Genomic DNA, 20638 nt, shown 5'->3' with positions numbered 1-20638 from the left:
ATAACTATTGCTTTTGTTTAACATGCGGATGGAATATTTGACCCATTCCAACCAGGCATTTGCATCTTGGTATGCTGTCTTAATTGCCAAAGTTTGTTTTAAGTCCTTAACTTCTATGATCCTCTAGTAAAATGAATGTATGATTTTAGGAAATTACAAAAACCTGTTGGGGCAGTCCATCCTTGCTCTTTAGTGGTCCACAGAATGTTGGACTAACTACGGCATAAAAGCTCTACATTGGGGGGTAAGACTCCTGGTTGACACTGGAGTCTTTACCGAAATTTCCTCAGATTAAATGGTTCTAATTTACTAATGCCCAGTCTGAGGAGAGTCAGGAGAGACAGAGGTACTTTTTTGAAATAGAGAGCTGTCTTTGACTTGGCAAGTCCCTACAGCATATAACAAGGCAAGCATTAAATGCAATAGTTTGAGGTGAAATTGACTTGGTTATGTTAATAACCAGACGGTCAGCAATAGAGCGAGGAAAGAAGAAAGAGTAATAGAATAGATGAAAGAGTTAAATTTTTCTTAGCTTTAGTTTGGTAGGGTTTTCCTCTGGGACTGTGGCCCATGACTCTGGAGGGGGTGGCACTTTGACTTGGATGTGATGAGTCCATCCCTTTTCTGCTGTACGAATAGCAGTCTCAGTGGTTAGCAGCACAAGGTAGGGTTCTTCCCAGGCTGGCTCGAGTTTTTCTTCTTTCCACCCTTTGATAAGAAGGTGATCTTCAGGCTGGTGCTGGTTTACTGGAAATTCTAGGGGTGGTACCTGTGCTAAAAGACTTTTAGTTTTGAGGGAACAGAAAGTGGAAGATAAACCAAGTATATAATTTCTAAGGAATTGACTTTTTGTTTTAAATGTGGGGACTTCAACAGTGGACTTTATTTTTTTTAAATTAATTTTTTTTGAGATGGAGTCTCACTGTGTCACCAGGCTGGAGTGCAGTGACGCGATCTTGGCTCATTGCACCCTCTGCCTCCCGGGCTGAAGTGATTTTCCTGCCTTAGCCGCCCGAGTAGCTGGGACTACAGGCATGCACCACCACACCTAGATAATTTCTGTATTTTTAGCAGAGACAGGATTTCACCATGTTGGCCAGGATGGTCTTGATCTCTTGACCTTGTGATCCACCCACCTCAGCTTCCCAAAGTTCTGGGATTACAGGTTTGAGCCACGGTGCCTGGCCAACAGTGGACTTTATAGTCTTTGGTGCCTTTTTACTGAGAAATTTTCTTTAGCACCTATTTTTATTAGTTTTTCGACCAAAGAAAGCCAAACACCATTTTATATTTAATAATGCTTCTTGTATGATTTTTATACCAGATAAGCTAAATTTCACCTTTCTATTACTGTGCTATTAATGTTAAACTTAGTTTTAGTAAAACTTTGTATACATGTTTATTCAATTTTTAATGTTGGACCATAACGTAAGATTTTTATAAACTCTTTTAAACCTTTTATAATCTTTGTTAAAGATCAGGTTAGTGCTTTAAGAAAAACCCATTGTGTTTTTACTTTAATGTCCAGTTCACAGAAAAACTGGATGATACCTTTTTAACTTTAGCTAATATGTTTACACACAGAATTTTTTTTATAATTAACGTTTTAAAACTTGCTTAAACCTTCAAAACAATTTTTTTAACCTCTTAATGTAGGTAAAAATTTACATTTTTATGCCTCCTTATAATCCTTTTACCAAAGGTGTATTTTACTTTCCTTATATACCTTGCACATAAACTGTTTTTTTTTCCCCCAGTAGTTTCACAGTTAGGAGGCCTAGTTACTTTTAAATTATACAACATTTCTTGCATAAATTTTTTTTATAACATTTTTCTCTTTCATGACTTTCTCAGACAATTCTTCGACATGTCTCTACTTTATGACTTATTACAAACATTTCTTTCTTTAAACTACCAGTTAATTTATTTCAGGACAAGAATTTATCATATAACACTCTTTTTACATAAATTCTGCCCTGCCCTTTTTTTCCCTTTTTTTCTTCTGAAGATGATAACCATTCTTTTTCAAAGTGAACTTCTTTTATGTCTGTGGACTAGACCGTCTAAGGCCACAAGATTAGAAGTTAGTATAATACATGTTACACTGTTACTTTTTAGCAAACTTTACTTTTGTTGAAAACCTTGTAAGTTTGGGATTTTAATTATCCTTTGCTATTAATAAGACCTTGTTTTGTCTAAATTAACTTAGAATTGGTATAGATGGCTTTTTTTCCCCTTCAATTACCTGGGAGGAACCATCGATCATCCTGTCCTGAAGGGAGTTCCTCCTAGGTCTGGTCAGACCTTTGTATGGTAGTTAAGATTTAGATCCCCATGTCCCTACAAAGGACATGAACTCATCATTTTTTATGGCTGCATAGTATTCCAGGGTGTGTATGTGCCACATTTTCTTAATCCAGTCTATCATTGTTGGACATTTGGCTTGGTTACAAGTCTTTGCTATTGCGAATAATGCCGCAATAAACATATGTGTGCATGTGTCTTTATAGCAGCATGATTTATAGTCCTTTGGGTATATACCCAGTAATGGGATGGCTGGGTCAAATGGTATTTCTAGTTCTAGATCCCTGAGGAATTGCCATACTGACTTCCACAATGGTGGAACTAGTTTACAGTCCCACCAACAGTGTAAAAGTGTTCCTATTTCTCCACATCCTCTCCAGCACCTGTTGTTTCCTGACTTTTTAATGATTGCCATTCTAACTGGTGTGAGATGGTATCTCGTTGTGGTTTTGATTTGCATTTCTCTGATGGCCAGTGATGATGAGCATTTTTTCATGTGTTTTTTGGCTGCATAAATGTCTTCTTTTGAGAAGTGTCTGTTCATGTCCTTCGCCCACTTTTTGATGGGGTTGTTTGTTTTTTTCTTGTAAATTTGTTTGAGTTCATTGTAGATTCTGGATATTAGCCCTTTGTCAGATGAGTAGGTTGCGAAAATTTTCTCCCATTCTGTAGGTTGCCTGTTCACTCTGATGATAGTTTCTTTTGCTGTGCAGAAGCTCTTTAGTTTAATTAGATCCCATTTGTCAATTTTGTCTTTTGTTGCCATTGCTTTTGGTGTTTTAGACATGAAGTCCTTGCCCATGCCTATGTCCTGAATGGTCATGCCTAGGTTTTCTTCTAGGGTTTTTATGGTTTTAGGTCTACCGTTTAAGTCTTTAATCCATCTTGAATTGATTTTTGTATAAGGTATAATGAAGGGATCCAGTTTCAGCTTTCTACATATGGCTAGCCAGTTTTCCCAGCACCATTTATTAAATAGGGAATCCTTTCCCATTGCTTGTTTTTGTCAGGTTTGTCAAAGATCAGATGGTTGTAGATATGCGGCGTTATTTCTGAGGGCTCTGTTCTGTTCCATTGATCTATGTCTCTGTTTTGGTACCAGTACCATGCTGTTTTGGTTACTGTAGCCTTGTAGTATAGTTTGAAGTCAGGTAGTGTGATGCCTCCAGCTTTGTTCTTTTTGCTTAGGATTTTCTTGGCTATGCGGGCTCTTTTTTGGTTCCATATGAACTTTAAAGTAGTTTTTTCCAATTCTGTGAAGAAAGGCATTGGTAGCTTGATGGGGATGGCATTGAATCTGTAAATTACCTTGGGCAGTATGGCCATTTTCACGATATTGATTCTTCCTGCCCATGAGCATGGAATGTTCTTTCATTTGTTTGTATCCTCTTTTATTTCATTGAGCAGTGGTTTGTAGTTCTCCTTGAAGAGGTCCTTCACATCCCTTGTAAGTTGGATTCCTAGGTATTTTATTCTCTTTGAAGCAATTGTGAATGGGAGTTCACTCATGATTTGGCTCTCTGTTTGTCTGTTGTTGGTGTATAAGAATGCTTGTGATTTTTGTACATTGATATTGTATCCTGAGACTTTGCTGAAATTGCTTATCAGCTTAAGGAGATTTTGGGCTGAGACAATGGGGTTTTCTAGATATACAATCATGTCATCTGCAAACAGGGACAATTTGACTTCCTCTTTTCCTAATTGAATACCCTTTATTTCCTTCTCTTGCCTAATTGCCCTGGCCAGAACTTCCAACACTACAACCAACACAACAAAATCATCATTCTCAGTAAACTATCACAAGAACAAAAAACCAAACACCACATATTCTCACTCATAGGTGGGAATTGAACAATGAGATCACATGGACACAGGAAGGGGAATATCACACTCTGGGGACTGTGGTGGAGTGGGGGTAGGGGGAAGGGATAGCATTGGGAGATATACCTAATGCTAGATGACGAGTTAGTGGGTGCAGCGCACCAGCATGGCACATGTATACATATGTAACTAACCTGCACAATGTGCACATGTACCCTAAAACTTAAAGTATAATTTAAAAATGAATTAATTAATTAATAAATAAAATAAATAAAAATTAAAAAAAAAAAGATTTAGATCCCCTGTTAGGAAACCTGCTGGGTTAAGGGAATTTTCAGTGGTTAATGTTAAATCATACTTTTTTTTTTTTTCTTTAGGATACTTCTGAACTGGTAAGGTGTGCTCACAATGAGGTTTCCTCTAAAAGTTATTTTTTTACTTTTTTCTGTTAGCAAAGCAGTTGCCTCTACAGATTGAATGCATTTGGGCCATCTACGGATTACTGGGTTGAGGATATTTGATAGGAAGGCCTCAGTGCTTTTGGGATATGCCCTTGTTTACACTGACAACATAGTGGTATTGGAGTGTTATAGGGTTATGGAGAATACCTTCAATTATCAATTATAGGTTTTAAATTTACCTTGGCTTTTAAAGGAATAGGGTACGCTGTTGTTGTTTTTTTTTAAACTACTTGTATATCTCTCTCTTTCATTTTTTCTTTCTCTCATTGATTTTCTATGTACAGGAACTGGTTTGGGTGCCTTGGCTTACAGGTTACCTTGTGCCATACTTTTGAAACAAGGGACCTGTCCAGGCTTCCTTCTGATGGCCAACCCACCTCTAATGCCAGCCAGTCTATCTTACACAAAGTTTTAAGTTTTCCTGGTGTCACAGTACTGCATAGTCTCCCTGAAATCCTTTCTTGACATTTTTTAACATAGTTCCTAGTGGGGTGGGCTTACTTTGTGCCTGACCCATGCTTCTTCAAGACAGAACACCATGCTCACACCACACACACACCACAAAACAAAGAATGTGTAAAAAGGGCACACACACACTTTTACAGTTTACACCAAACCAGAATCAAACCAAAATCAGAGTATCAAGAAATCCAAGCCAGGTCAAAACCAAAACTAAAGTATCAAGCAATCCAAGTCAAGTCAAACACAAAAACCCAAGTGGTGGTATGGGCATGCCGTAGGTGATCAGGCCACGCTTCCACTTAAATGGAGTGGGCAAGTTCCAAAGACTAGTCTTACCAAGTTTCAGATGTCCGGACTCCAAGGGCCATTTCCTTCCCGGTGTTCAGCCATGGTGTTGATCCTCCACAAGGGCCTGCCACGCGCTGCTCTGGCGAGGCGTTCCACCAGGGCAATTGCCTACCCGGGAGGGCTTTCAGGATCCATGTAGCTCAAGCTGGCTGGAGTCCCCCACAGGGATGTTCCACAGGGCAGGCCTAAGCCGCCTAAGGGGCTGCCTCGGCCGTCCATTAATCACCTCACTTCCCAGTCAGAGAACGAAGAAATGTAGCAGGACAAGCTGCAGACAAAATTCCTCAGACAAGGAGTTAAAGAAGGAAGGGCTTTATTCGGCCAGGAGCTTCCACAAGACTCACGTCTCCAGCAACCGAGCTCCCTGAGTAAGCAATTCCTGTCCCTTTTAAGGGCTCGCAACTCTAAGGGGGTCCACATGAGGGGGTTGTGATCCATTGAGCAAGCAGGGGGTACATGACTGGGGGCTGCATGCACCGGTAATTAGAACGGAACAGAACAGGACAGGGATTTTCACAGTGCTTTTCTATACAATGTCTGTAATCTATAGATAACATAACCAATTAGGTCAGGGGTCGATCTTTAACTACCAGGCCCAGGGTGTGGTGCCGAGCTGTCTGCTTGTGGATTTCATTTCTACCTTTTAGTTTTTACTTCTTCTTTCTTTGGAGGCAGAAATTTGGCATAAGAAAATATGAGAGGTGGTCTCCTCCCTTACTATAATTTGGAAGATTTTCTCTATCACTGATTTTTTCCCATAAACAAACAGAAGAATTTACCAGTGAGGCAATCTACCCTTGGAGTGTTTTTTTTTTTTTCTGGAAAGTTTTTACTTACAAGTTTACTTTCTGTAATGGATGTGGTTTTTCATCTTGGTGACATTTTCTGTTTCTTCTTGATAAGTTTGAGAAGATATTTATCTAGAAATCTGTCCATTTTTTCTAAAGTTTTGATTTATTATCATGAAGCTGTTCATGATATAAGATTTGTAGTGATATTCCTCTTTTTCATTCCTAGTATTAGTAATTTATGCTTTCTCATTCTTTCTGTCTTGGAATGTTTTTGTCTCTCTGTCTCTGTCTCAATCTCTCTTTTTCTTTCTCTTTTTGCCTTGATACCACAGAACAGGGGCTGTCAAGCTTTTTCTATAAAGGTGGTCCTTTACAGTTAATATTTTAAGTGCTGTGGACTATAACCCTAACTGATACAGTGAAGTTCAAAGTCTGTAAACTGATTGGTTGTTTATTTATTTTTCAAGTTATTAATCAGCAGGTTGTTTTTAAGTATATGTACTCATGCACTGGTATATGTCAGGGGTCAAAAAACTATAAAGAGCCAGATAGAAAATATTTTAGACATTACAGTCTCTGTTGTGACCACTCTGCTATTGTGTCATGTAAACAGCCATAGACAATATGTAGACAAATAAGCATGAGTTCCAATAAAACTACATTATGGATACAGAAATTTGAATTTCATGTGCTACAATATATTTTCCTTCTGATTTCCTCCCCAAAACACCGAAAAATGTAAAAACCATTCTTGATTCGTGAACCATAAAAAAACAAGTGTTTGAAACAGGTATTGAGTTGGATTTGGCCCATAAGCTGTTGCTTGCCAATCCCTGCTGTAGAAAATTTAGTTTCATTGTCCTTTTCAGAGTTTTTGCTATTGTTGTTTTTCTTCCTATTTATGTTTTTTTCCTTCAATAGTTTCTGCTCTTATCTATAATTTTCTTTTTATCTGCTTTGTTTACATTTAATTTGTTGTCTTTATAACTTTTTAAGGTGGACACTTGGATTATTGATTTTTCAGCCTTTTTTCTTTTCTAATATATGCATTTGAAGCCATACATCTCTTTCTTTTTTTTTTGTATTGTATTTTTATTTATTTTCACAAGTATTTGACAGTATGGTAGAATAAAAAATGATTGTAAGCTTAAATTGAAACTGTAAAAATTGCTTATGTATTATTCATAAATGCATTAGGTTGAAAAAGTAAGATGATTGTGGTGACTATTATTTCTTGTCCACTATATGTTTGTTTTTTGTTTTTTCACCAACAATGTCTTCATATTTGAATCTATTCAATAAAGACATAAAGCACAAAAATGCTAGTTCGTATTCACTGATGTCTTTTAGCCACACATAGAAAGATTGAAACCCAATGAAATATCAATAAAATGTTTGAAGTCAAAAATACAGTTTAAAAAAAAAAAAGTATCTTTTCATTGGCTGTATTCTTATGCCATCGGCTTTTGAAAATGTGTTACCATTTTACTGAAGTGTTTTCTGACATCAAAGTATTAGAAATGTTTTTGTTACAAGTTTTTTAAGGCATTTTCTTCATAGACAATACATTTAGCAATCACAAACATGATATCAAGATTAATAGGAAACATGGACATTTCTAGTTAAGAACTATACCGTTTAATGGCAAAAGTTATCTGTGATGAGTATTTAATGTTTTAGACAATCATATTTAAAATTAAAAAGGAATTTAGTGAAAATTTCAGATTAGACATGTTTAATTTGTACTCAATTTTCCTCAGGCTAGAGGTGAACACTTAACCATGAGTAGAAGCTCTGGAGATGAAAAAGTATTAGAAAAACACAGATAACAAAGAATCAACAGAGCGCTTGGATATTTATGTTCATGGCATGTGTATATATTTTACATGGTAAGCATTTTTTAGTATTAAGATAGGTTGATTCAATAATATAGTCATTTAAAGTCATACATCTCTTTCTAAGCACTGCTTTAACTGTATCTCATAAATTTTGATGCCATTTTTTAAATCATTCAATTAAAAATATACATAATTCTTATAATAGTCTCTCTTCTTTGCTTTATTTCCTTCTTTGATACTGGAGTAACTTAGAAGTATATTGCTTAATTTCCATACCTTTAAGAATTTTCTGTTTTTTTTTTTTTTAATTTGTTGTTGGGTTATTATTGTTTGTTTTTTCTCAGAGAGTTGCCCAGGCTATATTTAAACTCCTGGGCTCAGATCATCCTCCAGAGCAGTTAAGACTACAGGTGTGTGCCCGTGTCTGCGTTTTGTTGTTGTTGTTCTTTGTTTTTAGTTGGCTTCTAGTTTAATTCCACTGTGATCAACGAACATACTTGAATGATTTCAATCATTTGAGATTTATATTATGGTCCAGCGTATGGCAAATATTGTCAGATATTCTATGGGCCCTTACAAATAATTTTTACTCTTTCAGTCTTGAATGAAAGAGTAAATTGAATGAAGTGTTCTATATGTCATTTAGTTCTATGTTCTATATATGTCATTAACTTTGTTAACTGTGCTGTTCCAATTTCCTGTTTCTATTGGTTTATTTCTCATTTTAGCTCCATTTTGCTTTATGTATTTAGGAGCTATGTTTTTAGTGTATTCATATTGAGAATTTGTATACCTTTCTGATGAAGTGTTTTTTCTTATCACTATGAAAGAGCACTTTATCTCTAGTTGTATTTCTTGCCTTAAAATCAACTTTGCTATTAGTATAACTATACCAGCTTTCTTTTGGTTAGTGTTTACTTCTTATTTCATTATTTAACATTCAGCTGTCTTATATTCTTATATTAATGTTGTGTTACTTGAAAGCAATATAGTTAGGTTTTGTTTTGTAGTTCTGTCTAACAATTTGTCTTTTTTTGTAACTGATGTATTTCATTTTATTCATTTAAATTTAACATAATTACTGGTATATTTGGGCTTATGTATGTAAACTTACTTTCTTCCTTTAAATTTTCCCTCCTGTTTTATATTCCTTAATTTCTTTTCCGTTGTCTTGTTTTGCATTAATCAAATATTTTTAAGCATCTATTTCTTTTCTTTTCTTTTATCTTCTTCCAGAAATGAGTAGACATAGGTTAAACCTTCTCACTCTCCCCTCCATGCTCCTTTATTTCCTCTTCATATTTTCCATTTTTTTTCCTCAGTGCTTCACTCTGAGCAGTTTCTTCTGCTATATAACCTAGTTTACTAGTTTTTGCTTCAGCAGTGTCCATTCTATTTAACATATCTATTGAGTTTATAATTTCAGTATTATATTTTGCTTTTATATTTCTATTCTTTTGCTTTTTTCAGAAAAATTCTGCTTGATCGGAATGTATAGTCTCTTGTTTTTAGATTATTTATTTTTGTTAATAGGAGAAAAGGCATAAAAGTTTATTTAATGTGTATATACATGGGACCCTTCAGAATGAAGCCCCAATTTCCCATTGAGGTTCAGAAGTGTATATAACATCCTGGCACAACAGGTTCTGATTACATTCTTGGTCTTATGAGGAGGGGAAGAAAAAATTACTGTTCTTTTTGGAGGGTCTGGATCTTAGGCAGATAATGGCCTATGTTTTGGGAGAGACAGTGGTATGGTTGAGGGTGTGTAACGTCAGAGGGACTTTGAGGCCTCTTCAGTCTAGCATGTCAAAATGCCATATTTTGGGTTGTTCAGTTTCTGAGCCCCAATATTCCTCTGTCTGAAACTTCCCTAGAAGTGTCACACACTAAAAGCTGAGTTGGTGGCTGTGGAGAGAAAAATTGAGTTAAAAGCTGAATGGTAAAGGATCCCATTAAACCAGTCTCCCATTTCTGGGAATAGGCCAGTTCCATTAAGCATGTGTGTCATTGAAGTTAGTCTTTCAAACAGAATAAAAACAAAGGTTAATGTTGACTACAATCTATAAGCCAGTTTCCTTAGAATCTGGAGGGCAGTCAATTGAGGTGTCCAAATGTTGGACTCAAAGCATCTTCAGTCAAACTGGAAAAAGGTAGTGGCAATTTGACTAGTTTTTCTTGTTTGTATCACACGGTATGAGCTTCAGCTTGCAGGGCCTCAAGAAAATGGTAGTAGCAATTTCATTGAGTCCAAGTCAGAAAAATGGAAGAAAAATGTGAAACCAGTAGTTTGGAGACTTGTAGCCAGGAAAGAATTCGGGATTCAGATCAAATCATAGGCAGATAATAAAAACCCAGAAATGATGGACAAGGCTAGAATCTAATAATGGGTGTACTATAATTTTCTTCTGAAATATAATTTTCTCTCCTCAGTTGCCATTTTTACCAAGGATAAATCATAGCAGGACTAATTTATTTGCAAAAATAAGTTTTAGTTTTATTATACTTGGCCTGATTATTTGTATAAAATGCAATTTTAAAAAATATATATTTTTTAGAGACAAGGCCTTCTTTTGTCACCCAGGCTGGAGTGTCATGGCACAATCAGAGCACACTGCTGCTTCAAACTCCTGGGCTCAAGGGATCCTCCCACCTCAGCCTCCTGAGTGGCTGGGACTATAGGACCACGTCACCATGCCCAGCCTACTAAATTTTTTTTTTTTTTGCAGAGACAAGATCTTGTTATTTCACCCACGCTTGTCTCAAACTCCCGGGCTCAAGTAATCCTCCCATCTTGTCCTCCCAAAGCGCTGGGATTACAGGTGTGAGCCACAGCAAGAATACTTATTGGCTCTGTTAGGCTTTTTTTTTTTTTTTTTAGACGGAGTCTCGCTCTGTCGCCCAGGATGGAGTGCAGTGGTGTGATCTCGGCAACTGCAAGCTCCGCCTCCCGGGCTCACGCCATTCTCTTGCCTCAGCCTCCCGAGTAGCTGACTACAGGTGCCCGCCACCTCGCCCGGCCAATTGTTTTGTATTTTTAGTAAAGACGGGGTTTCACCGTGTTAGCCAGGATGGGCTCGATCTCCTGACCTCGTGATCCGCTCGCCTTGGCCTCCCAAAGTGTTGGTATTACAGGCGTGAAGCCACCGCGGCCGGCCTGTTAGGCTCTTTTAAAATTGGCTTTGCTGCAACTTTTTTTCCTAAGAAATCTCAGATTAGACTTTTGAAAGCTTCCGGAGCCAAGTCAAAGATTTATCTGTGTCTGCAGATACCTGTATGAATGGGCTCAATTCCTCTCTTCCCAAGGTCCCAAGATAATTTGGGGTGCCTGAGACTTTCAGAAAGTAACATTCTTTACATATCACAGATCAGGAACTTTGTAAAGGAATTGCATAGACAAGATACGAGGCCAGTCTTTCCAAGGGGCTTTTTACCAGCTCTATAATGTCAGCCTTAATTCCTCAAAGCAGTCTGATATGTCTGAAAATCTGCTAATCCACTGAAAGCCTTGGTAAAATAACCAGCGTCTCCAGCTGTGTCCTGTTAGAAATGAAAACAGATTCTATTGAACTTATGCAATATTCAACTATGTTGAGCTTATGTAATATATAACTATATTGCCATAAATTAAGAACACTCACAAATATACTCAATAATTCCATTATCCAAAAAAAAAAAAAAAAAAAATCACAGTTTCCAAATTCTGGAGAAAGCAGGCAGAGAGAGAAAGAAAAATGATTCAAATTTTGCTCACAAAACTATACTTTACCCAATTTGCCATAAGCTATAAATAGCTCAAAAGAAAAAAGTTTTCTTCACTCTGAAAAACAAAACAAAAAGAATTAGCAATGTTTCAAAAAAAGACATAAAAAATTATTTCAGTCTTGTATTAGTTCAACCCCATGTAATAACTCTTGTCTGCTTAGTGTTGGGTTAGTGATCCTCATCATCAACAATCCTCATCAACATTTAAGTTAGAGTCCTGGAGGTCTTTTTCCCTAGTTCAATGGTATGATCTTTGAAGTTATCAGAAACCTGTATTTAAGAGTACTTGTAAGATTTCTTCCATAATTTTCCTTAAAGAAAAAACAGATTTTGGATTGTAGTTGATTATAGACTGCTTTTTGAGAAGAATCAGAGTAAAACAAAAATTGTCTGTGGAAGACAAAAGTCTTAGAACAGCCATGGTTAAAGACACAATTGACAAAGAGATTTGGTTATTTCTGTGGTATACAACAATTTAATGTAATAATCATAATTACTATGGATAATATATACTAAGACATATCAGAATTGCAGGAATCTCTTACAATTTTGGAACACATGTTAATAAGACATTTACATAAATAAAACCCAAAGCAAGTTAAGCACAATTTCATATCTGACAATGTTTCCTATATGATTTTATGTACCAAATAAGCCAAATATGTCTCTCTTGGTCTTTCAGGGGCCCTAATGGTCAAAAAGTTCATTTGTGGTTTAAAAAAAACCAATTTAGAATTTGAAGTTTGATTTTGGAGAGTTTGTAAAATATCAAAGGTTTAAAACACATGATATCACAAAATAAACTCACACAACTGTAAAATAAACCATTCATTTAGCCAAAGTGAAAATTTAAATAACTCAAAAAGCAAAAATCCTACCACTTGATAGAGAGGAGACTTAGTTTCTCAAACAATCATAAGACCTAATAAAGACAGTATGAAGCGAACAATCCTTCTGCCTTGGTCTCTCAAACAGTTGGGATTAGAGACATGAGCCACCATGCCCAGCCCCAAATCTCTTATTACCAGATTTTAGCCAGGACAAATAGATGATACTTCTGGCTTTTGCACAAGATCCAGAACCATCCCAAAGATAGCTAAAAGAAAGGAAAGTTTCACTAGCCATAAATGGGGTATAACTTACATTTCTGTTCAGCCATATTCTCTAGGGTCTCAGCTTCTCAGCTGAATGTCTACTCACAATGGCCCCAAAGCCCCAGGTGCTCCAAAGATGGAATCAGGCAGGAAATCAAAAGCTGTTTATGTAAGGGAAAAGGATCAATAAATGAAAACCAGAAGCGACTGATTCTCTTATCAGGAACTGTACCCAGGCTACAGTGGGAATTTTAACTACTGGACTTCAAATGGAGCAACCTTGATTATTAATCCTACATGGAATCCAAAGTGGGCAGTTTAAGTGTAATTTTGTTTTAGATTATATTTTTGCTCTTTAATTAGTGAAGATATTTTTTAAGACTAGCTATGACACCTTTATTTGATTTTTATCTTTTCATCAATTGTTTGGAATTAGAGGTCTCATTTTTTTTTTTAACTTAGCAGTGTAATTTACAGGATCCATCTTTTGGCCATTGGATTTTCCATGGTGAACTTAATTTCAATAGTGACCCAATCCAGCAGCCTCTTCAGAGAAGAAGCAATCCCAAGGATGCCATTTTCCAGAAAGAGGCTAAGATAGCAAAACAATTGTTGCCACAGACAGTCAAGGATTGTGTTTGCCTCCAGTAACCCACAAATTTGTGAGGAGGCCACCACTCATAGACCCGTTAATCTGTGACACAGGGTAGAGCCTCCTGAATTGTACTTTCTCAGTACTCACTAGGCAACAAAAATTGAGATGACAAAATCCCCTTATGGATAGGACTTCTTATGACATACTCTCCCAAGAGCTTGGCACATTCAGAACAAAAAAAATCTCAAGATCCCAGCCATTTTCAGGCTGGCCACTTGACATGACCTGGAAATCAGATACCCTGGATGGTAGAGACCAAGAGAGAGTGGTCACAGATCTAGATTGGTCACAAATCTAGCTCTCGAAGACATAAAACAAGACAATGGGGAACTTTATCTGGTACCTCTCTTTATGGACAACACAGAAGGACAGACAAAAGAAAATACTATTTCTGGGAGAAAACGAATTAGACAATGTGAATATCCATAACACAAAGTACCAAAAAGTACATCAGAGTAGCTAACCCCCAGGACAAGTCACACAAAACCTTTTTTCCCATTAATCAAAACCTTGCAGAGGAGACAAATGGATTTTTACTGTCCACTCAACCAGATTACACTGAGAGAGTCTGGGAGACGAACTGGTAAAAAATTCTTACCTTTTTGCCAGTTTTTAGATTCTTGGGTTCTCTTCATTGTGGCTTTCAGAACAGAGCAACTTTGGTGACCCTGCTTACTGCACCATAACTGTGGGGGTCAAGGCCCTTGGCCCCCTAAACATTGAACAATCACTAACATGAGGCAGACTGGTTAATAGGAGAAAAGGGATACAAATGTATTTAACGTGTATACACAGAAGCCTTCAGAATAAGGCTCCAGGATCAGGAGTCCCCAATCCCTCGGCTATGGACCGGTATTGGTCTGTGGCCTGTTAGGAACCTAGCTGCACAGCAGGAAGTGAGCAGCAGGTCAGCGAGCATTACGGCCTGGGCTCCACCTGTCAGATCCCTGGTGGCATTAGATTCTCATAGGAGTGCAAACCCTACTGTGAACTCTGTGGGTAAGGGATCTAGGTTGTGCATTCCTTATGACAATCTAACTAATGCCTGATGATCTGAGGTGGAACAGTTTCATGCCAAATCCCCCCAACCCCCACGCCCCTGTCCGTGGAAAAATTATCTTCCACAAAACTGGTCCCTGGTGCCAAAAATGTTGGGGACTGCTGACCCAGATTACATTTCAAAGCCCCTTTTAAATTAGTAGAAACATCTCACTTATTGAATTTAATATGCAGAAAACCCCCAAATCTGAAGTTTTTGAATGTCTGATTCCACTGTGAGTTTTATCTCATTGCTCTAATTCATTGCCTCTGAACCTGTTTGATTTTGCCCTCCAGGGGACATTTAGACAAGTCTGGCGACATTTTGGTTGTCACAGCTGGGGAGGTGGGAGGGTAGTTCTTATGTCTACTCTGTATAGGTCAAGGATGCTGGTAAACATCCTATAATGCACAGCACTGCACCACACAGTGAATTATCCTGCCCAATATTGTTATGGTTGAGAAATCCATGATACTTTGTTTCCTTCAGTGATTTATGCTTTTGAATGTGAGCTTACCTTGGAGCTTTGTCTATAGGAATTCTGATAGGTGTAGTTGAAGTTTGTTTTCCACCATGGATGATTAGCTACTGCCAATTGCCTGAGGACACTACCATCTGGAACAACTTTGATTTCTCAGCCTGGGTTTTTTTGAGACCACATGTAATATGTCAATTTGCTCCATGTTACCACCTTCCCCAAAAGCAAACCCAACCCAACCAAAACCCTAGTTAAGGCCAATTTGTGTTTACATATCCTAAGATAATTTTCTTTCTGTCTCCCAGTATCAAGATTAAGACAAAAAGGTTGCCCCCTTCAGCATGTCGAGTCATGTGAGGGTGGCTACCCTCTGGGGCTGCAGCTTTCTCACTTTGGAAGACTTATGAGTTTTTTCCTGTGCCCTGTACAGTGAAGAACAAAGAAACTAGTGACAGTTTGATGAGAAACAGATATACACATAGCTTCAAAGAATCTCTCCATAAAGTACTTATTCATTATAAAAGGAAAAAAATAATTTCATAGGGAAGAAACCTGGTGGATGACATCTTAATCAAGTGATCAAAGTTACCACCACGACTAATGACACAAACCAACATTATATGCCTCCTGATGTGATGTGACATGCTAGAAAGAAAACAACATCATTTATACGGTATTTCTGCCAGAGAAACATAATCTGCATTTTCATGTTAAAGTGAAGTCGATTATACATAGCATTGTTAAAAGTGATTTTGGAGTTTTTCTCTTCATACAATTTTAAGGTTGTAAAGTTGACAGTCTGTTTTTAATTCACTTTTACAAGTTGTAAATGTTTTGCAAATATGTTTCTTTCCTGTAAGATTTATTTCTTAGCTGGTTAACCTAGACAAATTGATTTCCCAGAGGTTACTTTGTTTAATGTTATGGTACCTATACACTAAATAATCTATAAGGATAAGACAATATACTTTGATGTTTATTTTACATATTTATAAACATTTTTGACTCAAATTATGAAAAAGTTTTTCCTAAAATTTTCTAGTGGATGTGCTGTCTCTTAACATTCTCCTTAGCTGTCAATTGATTTCCTTGTTTAACTATTTTAAAGTTCTTTATAATAGTTGTTATTCATAAATCAAGTGCTTTTACTCTTACAATAAAAATATACACTTATATTTCCACTCACAATGCACTTAAAGAAAACTTTCAGTCCTGGTTACATTTAAAATAGTTACCTACATTTATTTTATATTGACAATATCTGAATCAAAAACCCACTGATAGCATCTACTAAAGCTGAACATTCACACATTGCATGAAATAGGAAAGGAGGGCTTATGTCCTCCAATAGGTGTGTTCATAGCAGTTTAGTATAAAATCCCCAAACTGCCTATCAACAGTAGTGTCTCTCAATAGGAGAATGTATAAGGACATTTTAGTATACTTATACAATCAAGCAGTGGAAAAAAATAAACTATTGCTTTATGCACCAACATGGATAAATATCACAGACCTATTGATAAATGAAAGAAGTCAGAAATGAAAAGGCTGAAAATTGTATGAGCCATGTATGTGAAAATCAAGAACAGACAAAACCAATCTACAGTGACAGATGTCAGAATGATGGTTACCTTTAGAGTTTATTGAGTGCAAGAATATGGGTGTAGCCTTCTGGGATGTTGAAAATATTCTCTATGTTGATTTGGGTATGGCTTAAAAGGATTTATGCATGTCTAGAAAGTTATCAAGCTGTGCAATTAAGACCTATGTATTTTATTATATGTAATCTATACCATATTTCAATAAAAATATGAATACCTTTGTTATTGCTTAATGTTATTGTATTGATTAGGTTTTAATCTAAAATGTCACACACAAATTCATGAGATGCCAGATAGGTGTTCAGTTATTTACTCTTGGGTCAAGGTAAAGTCAAATGAACTTTGGCCAAATGCTAAGATGTTGGCCTAAGAACAGTCAAGCAAACACGAGAAAGAATAGGAAGATCACAGAAAGATGTATGTGCACGTGGGTACTCAAGGTAAAATAAAAGACACCATAAATCAATGGGAAAAACTGATTATTTGGTAAATGGTGTTGGGTAAATGGTGTTGGCAGAAATATGAAGAAAACTAAAATTGATTCCTACCTCACATCACTTACAAAGGTGAACTCTATATGGATTAAAGAGCTAAATGTGAACAGTACAAGTTAATTTTTAAAATGTAGGAAGGGACTTCTTAAACAAAACCTCAAAAAGTTATAGCATAAGACAAAAAAAAAGATGGTTTTGCTCACAACAAAATTAAGGATGACGTTAACAGACTGAGAGAAGTTATTTACAATGTCTGAAATTGACAAAGGGCCAGTACCTTCACATCCAAGAAACTTCAACAAATCAAAATAAGAAAAAAACAGGCCAGGGGGCACTGGCTCATGCCTATAATCCCAGCGCTTTGGAAGGCCAAGGTGGGAGGATCACTTGAGCCCAGGAGTGAGTTCAAGACCAGCCTGCACAACACGGTGAAACCCCGTCTCTAGTAAAAATATAGAAAATAACCGAGTGTGGTGGTGCATACCTGTAGTCACAGCTGTTTGGGAGGCTGAGGTGGGAAGATCACCTGAGCCTGGGAGGTCGAGGCTGCAGTGAGCCGTGATCATGTCTCTGCACTCCAGCCTGGGTGACAGAGTGAGACCCTGTCCCAAAAAAAAAAAAAAAAAAAAAAAAGGAAAAGAAAAGAAAAAAACAAATATCAAAACAAAAGACAGTTTATAGAAGAGGAAATACAAGAGGCCAAAAGCATAAGAAGAGATGTTTAAATCTTTTAGTTAACACCAAAGATGCAAATTTAACCAATAATGATATATTATTTGTGACTGGCAAAAATTAGAAAGGTGGAGAATGGGCAGGATTGTAGTGATGTGGAATATAGGAACCTTAGGTACTCCGGCAGTTCTACAGAGCAACGTGCTAGTACCCAATTGTATTATGCATGTGTGTACCTAGGGACCCAGCAGTTTCACTCCCAGACAGATACTCCAAAAAATTCTCACACAGTTCTGTAAGGGGACATAGAAGAGTAAGTTCATTACAGTGTTGTTCACAGTAGAGCAGAGGTGATGCTAACCTGATTGTCTGTGTTCTAAAAATGTGCATGTGTACATATGATATTGCAAAACAGAAGAAACTGTCTAGATGTAAACAAAGCAATATGAATGGCCCTTTGAACAAAAAAAGAATAAGGAACATAATGAGTTATGCAATACATGTATTCAAAAATAGTACATATTTTGTAAAAACATCCAAAATAAGAGGTTACAAACTGAAAACATTGGAATGGTAGGTTATTTATGCCAAGTGAAGAGTAGGGACTGGGGAGTAGTCTCAGTATGTGGAAAATAAATTTGCAATTAACTCGCAATTTTCAGAACGATGTGTCTCCCTCCTTGCTGCTGTGTCAAATGTCCAAACAAGAGCCTCTCTGATTCACTTTCCCTAGGATGTAAACCAAATTTTTCCTTCCCAGGACTTGATGAATCCCACTCTCTGGCCACACTCCCCAACCCTGCTTTCTAAGGCACTTGGAGCCCTAGTCCTGATCTTTAGGTTTCTGCTGTGGGACTCAGGGTGCTCTCTGTGGACATCACTCTCTAGGGCATTTAAGGATGAGTTTTCCCTGATGCTGTATCACCCTTTTTCCCCCAATTTTTGGACATGGCACTTCCACTGACATCTCCCATTCTCTTTACCTTTCATTCTATACTTTTAAAAACATTTCATTACTGTCATTTTTCTGGAGTTTTAAGAGGGAGCAGAGATTATGAATTAATCTGTTGGGTATAAGTGCACCGGGAGCTGCAAACTCATCCTTTGGAAGAATATTTTTTAAACCTGTGCTTTTCAGGGTGTACAGGATTCACAAAGTCCTTTCTAACATTCCAACAGTCATTTAAATTATAAAATCTTAACTAAGATCATAATAATATTGAGTCATGTGGGGGAAATTGTAGCTTAATTCCTCTTTAATTATTTTTAGAATTGGCAATCCAGGTGAAAGATGCTTAGAATCTAGATCTAGACAGTTGCAGTAAGTAGAGAAAGGAGGAGCACATGAGAGAGAGGCTAAAAAGGTAGAAATGGTACAAATTACAAAAGGTGACAGAGGATGACTCTAGATAGCTCTTACAACTGCCATTTGTGGAAAAAGGCATTATAGGAGGAGGAGAAACTGATGAGGATGCTTTAAAATGTAGTTATATTACTATTCAGATGTGGTGAGGCCAACAGATCAGAAGATGATTACCATTAAAAAGAGCTTGATATACTTGTAGATCCCAAGAGGAGGAAGGACGCCACACCAGGGGAGGATGCCCGAGAAGCACCAGGGTCTATCAGGAGGCAGAGGGAGGATGGGGACTATGGGCAAGAGTCCATAGTCTTATGGTTTTTGAGGGAAGGAAACCATATTATGATTTTTGAGGGAAGGAACAGGTGAGGCAGAGTAAGCAGGCTTAGGATTGGCTGGTTTGAATTATTTCAGTGCGCTATGGGGCACCGGGCTAACCCTCGTTGTCTTGTAGTTGGCCCTGGGTGATTATGGCAGGGGAATAGTAGTCCTGAGTAAGAGCCTGCTAGAGGAGGTGGTGGCACTATGAGTTGATAGGTTTGCACTTGAAGGGTGTGCTCTAGGATGAGTTGTTTGGTATCTCCAGGATTTAGGTGACCCTCAGAGGAAAAATGCCTCCAGGGTCAGCAAGACCCCAGTATGTCAAGGCATCAAAATACAGCAAAAAATAAAAAATAAAAAGAAGACATGATGAATACAGCGAGGAGAACTGAAGCCACATGCATGTGCTGAGTTGCAGGTGTCTTGTTTGTGAGCCTTCAAGAGGAGATGTCTGTAGGTGGTTGGAGCTCATTTTCAGCTCAGCAGATTTACTCTGGAGACTTAAATCTGGGGACCAGCTAGAAGAAGCAGTGACAATCATGAGTTTGCTTAAGGGCGGGGAAGAGGAGAAGCCCCAGTGGTTCAGGAGGAAAACAGAAAGAAGATCTCACAAGGGAGATAGAGCATGAGAGCGGCACTTGAGGGTGGTGTGGCAGACAGATGGAGATGACCACACACCACTGTGCAGGCACTCCAGCAACGCTCTCTTCTAGCAGAAGGAAGTGGCAGAGGGAAAGGAAGTTGGGAGAGTAACCAGGACATTGTTGGTGGGGCTGAGGCCTACCTAAGTGCAACCTTTTAGGAATCCTCATGCCTTTCCCCAGTCAGAGTCATTGTCTTACCTGGGAGCCTTCCACTGGTCTTCTACTTTTCTTTTCTTTTTTGAAAAAAAAGGGTGTAAAATACACATAATATAAAACTTGCCACCTTTGCCATTTTTAAGCATATGGTTTAGTAGTGTTATCTGTAGAAATTTTTCACCTTGCAAAACTGAAACTCCATGCCCATTGAACACTAACTTTCCATTCTCCCCTTCCTCTAACCCTGGGAACCATCATTCTGTTTTTACTTCTGAGAGTTTGACTACTTTAGGTGCCTCATATAAGTGGAATCATATAGCGTTTGTCTTTCTGT

At 37.5% G+C, this 20638-nt stretch overlaps 1 long non-coding RNA gene across 2 annotated transcripts in view; it reads left to right on the top strand.

The window, feature by feature from the left end:
• LOC105375846 (uncharacterized) overlaps nt 1-16878 on the top strand; it is a 35038-nt gene extending 18160 nt beyond the window's left edge. For both annotated transcript variants that reach the window (XR_001745917.2, XR_001745916.2), the window contains 2 exons: nt 7948-8076; nt 15362-16878. This is a non-coding gene — a long non-coding RNA (uncharacterized LOC105375846). The remainder of the gene's footprint in view (nt 1-7947; nt 8077-15361) is intronic.
• Nucleotides 16879-20638: the final 3760 nt, after the last annotated feature.

Source organism: Homo sapiens, chromosome 8 (assembly GCF_000001405.40).
Source record: "Homo sapiens chromosome 8, GRCh38.p14 Primary Assembly".
Lineage (NCBI taxonomy): Eukaryota > Metazoa > Chordata > Mammalia > Primates > Hominidae > Homo > Homo sapiens.
Note: the sequence above shows the minus strand (reverse complement) of the source record. Positions and strands in the feature narration are given on the sequence as shown.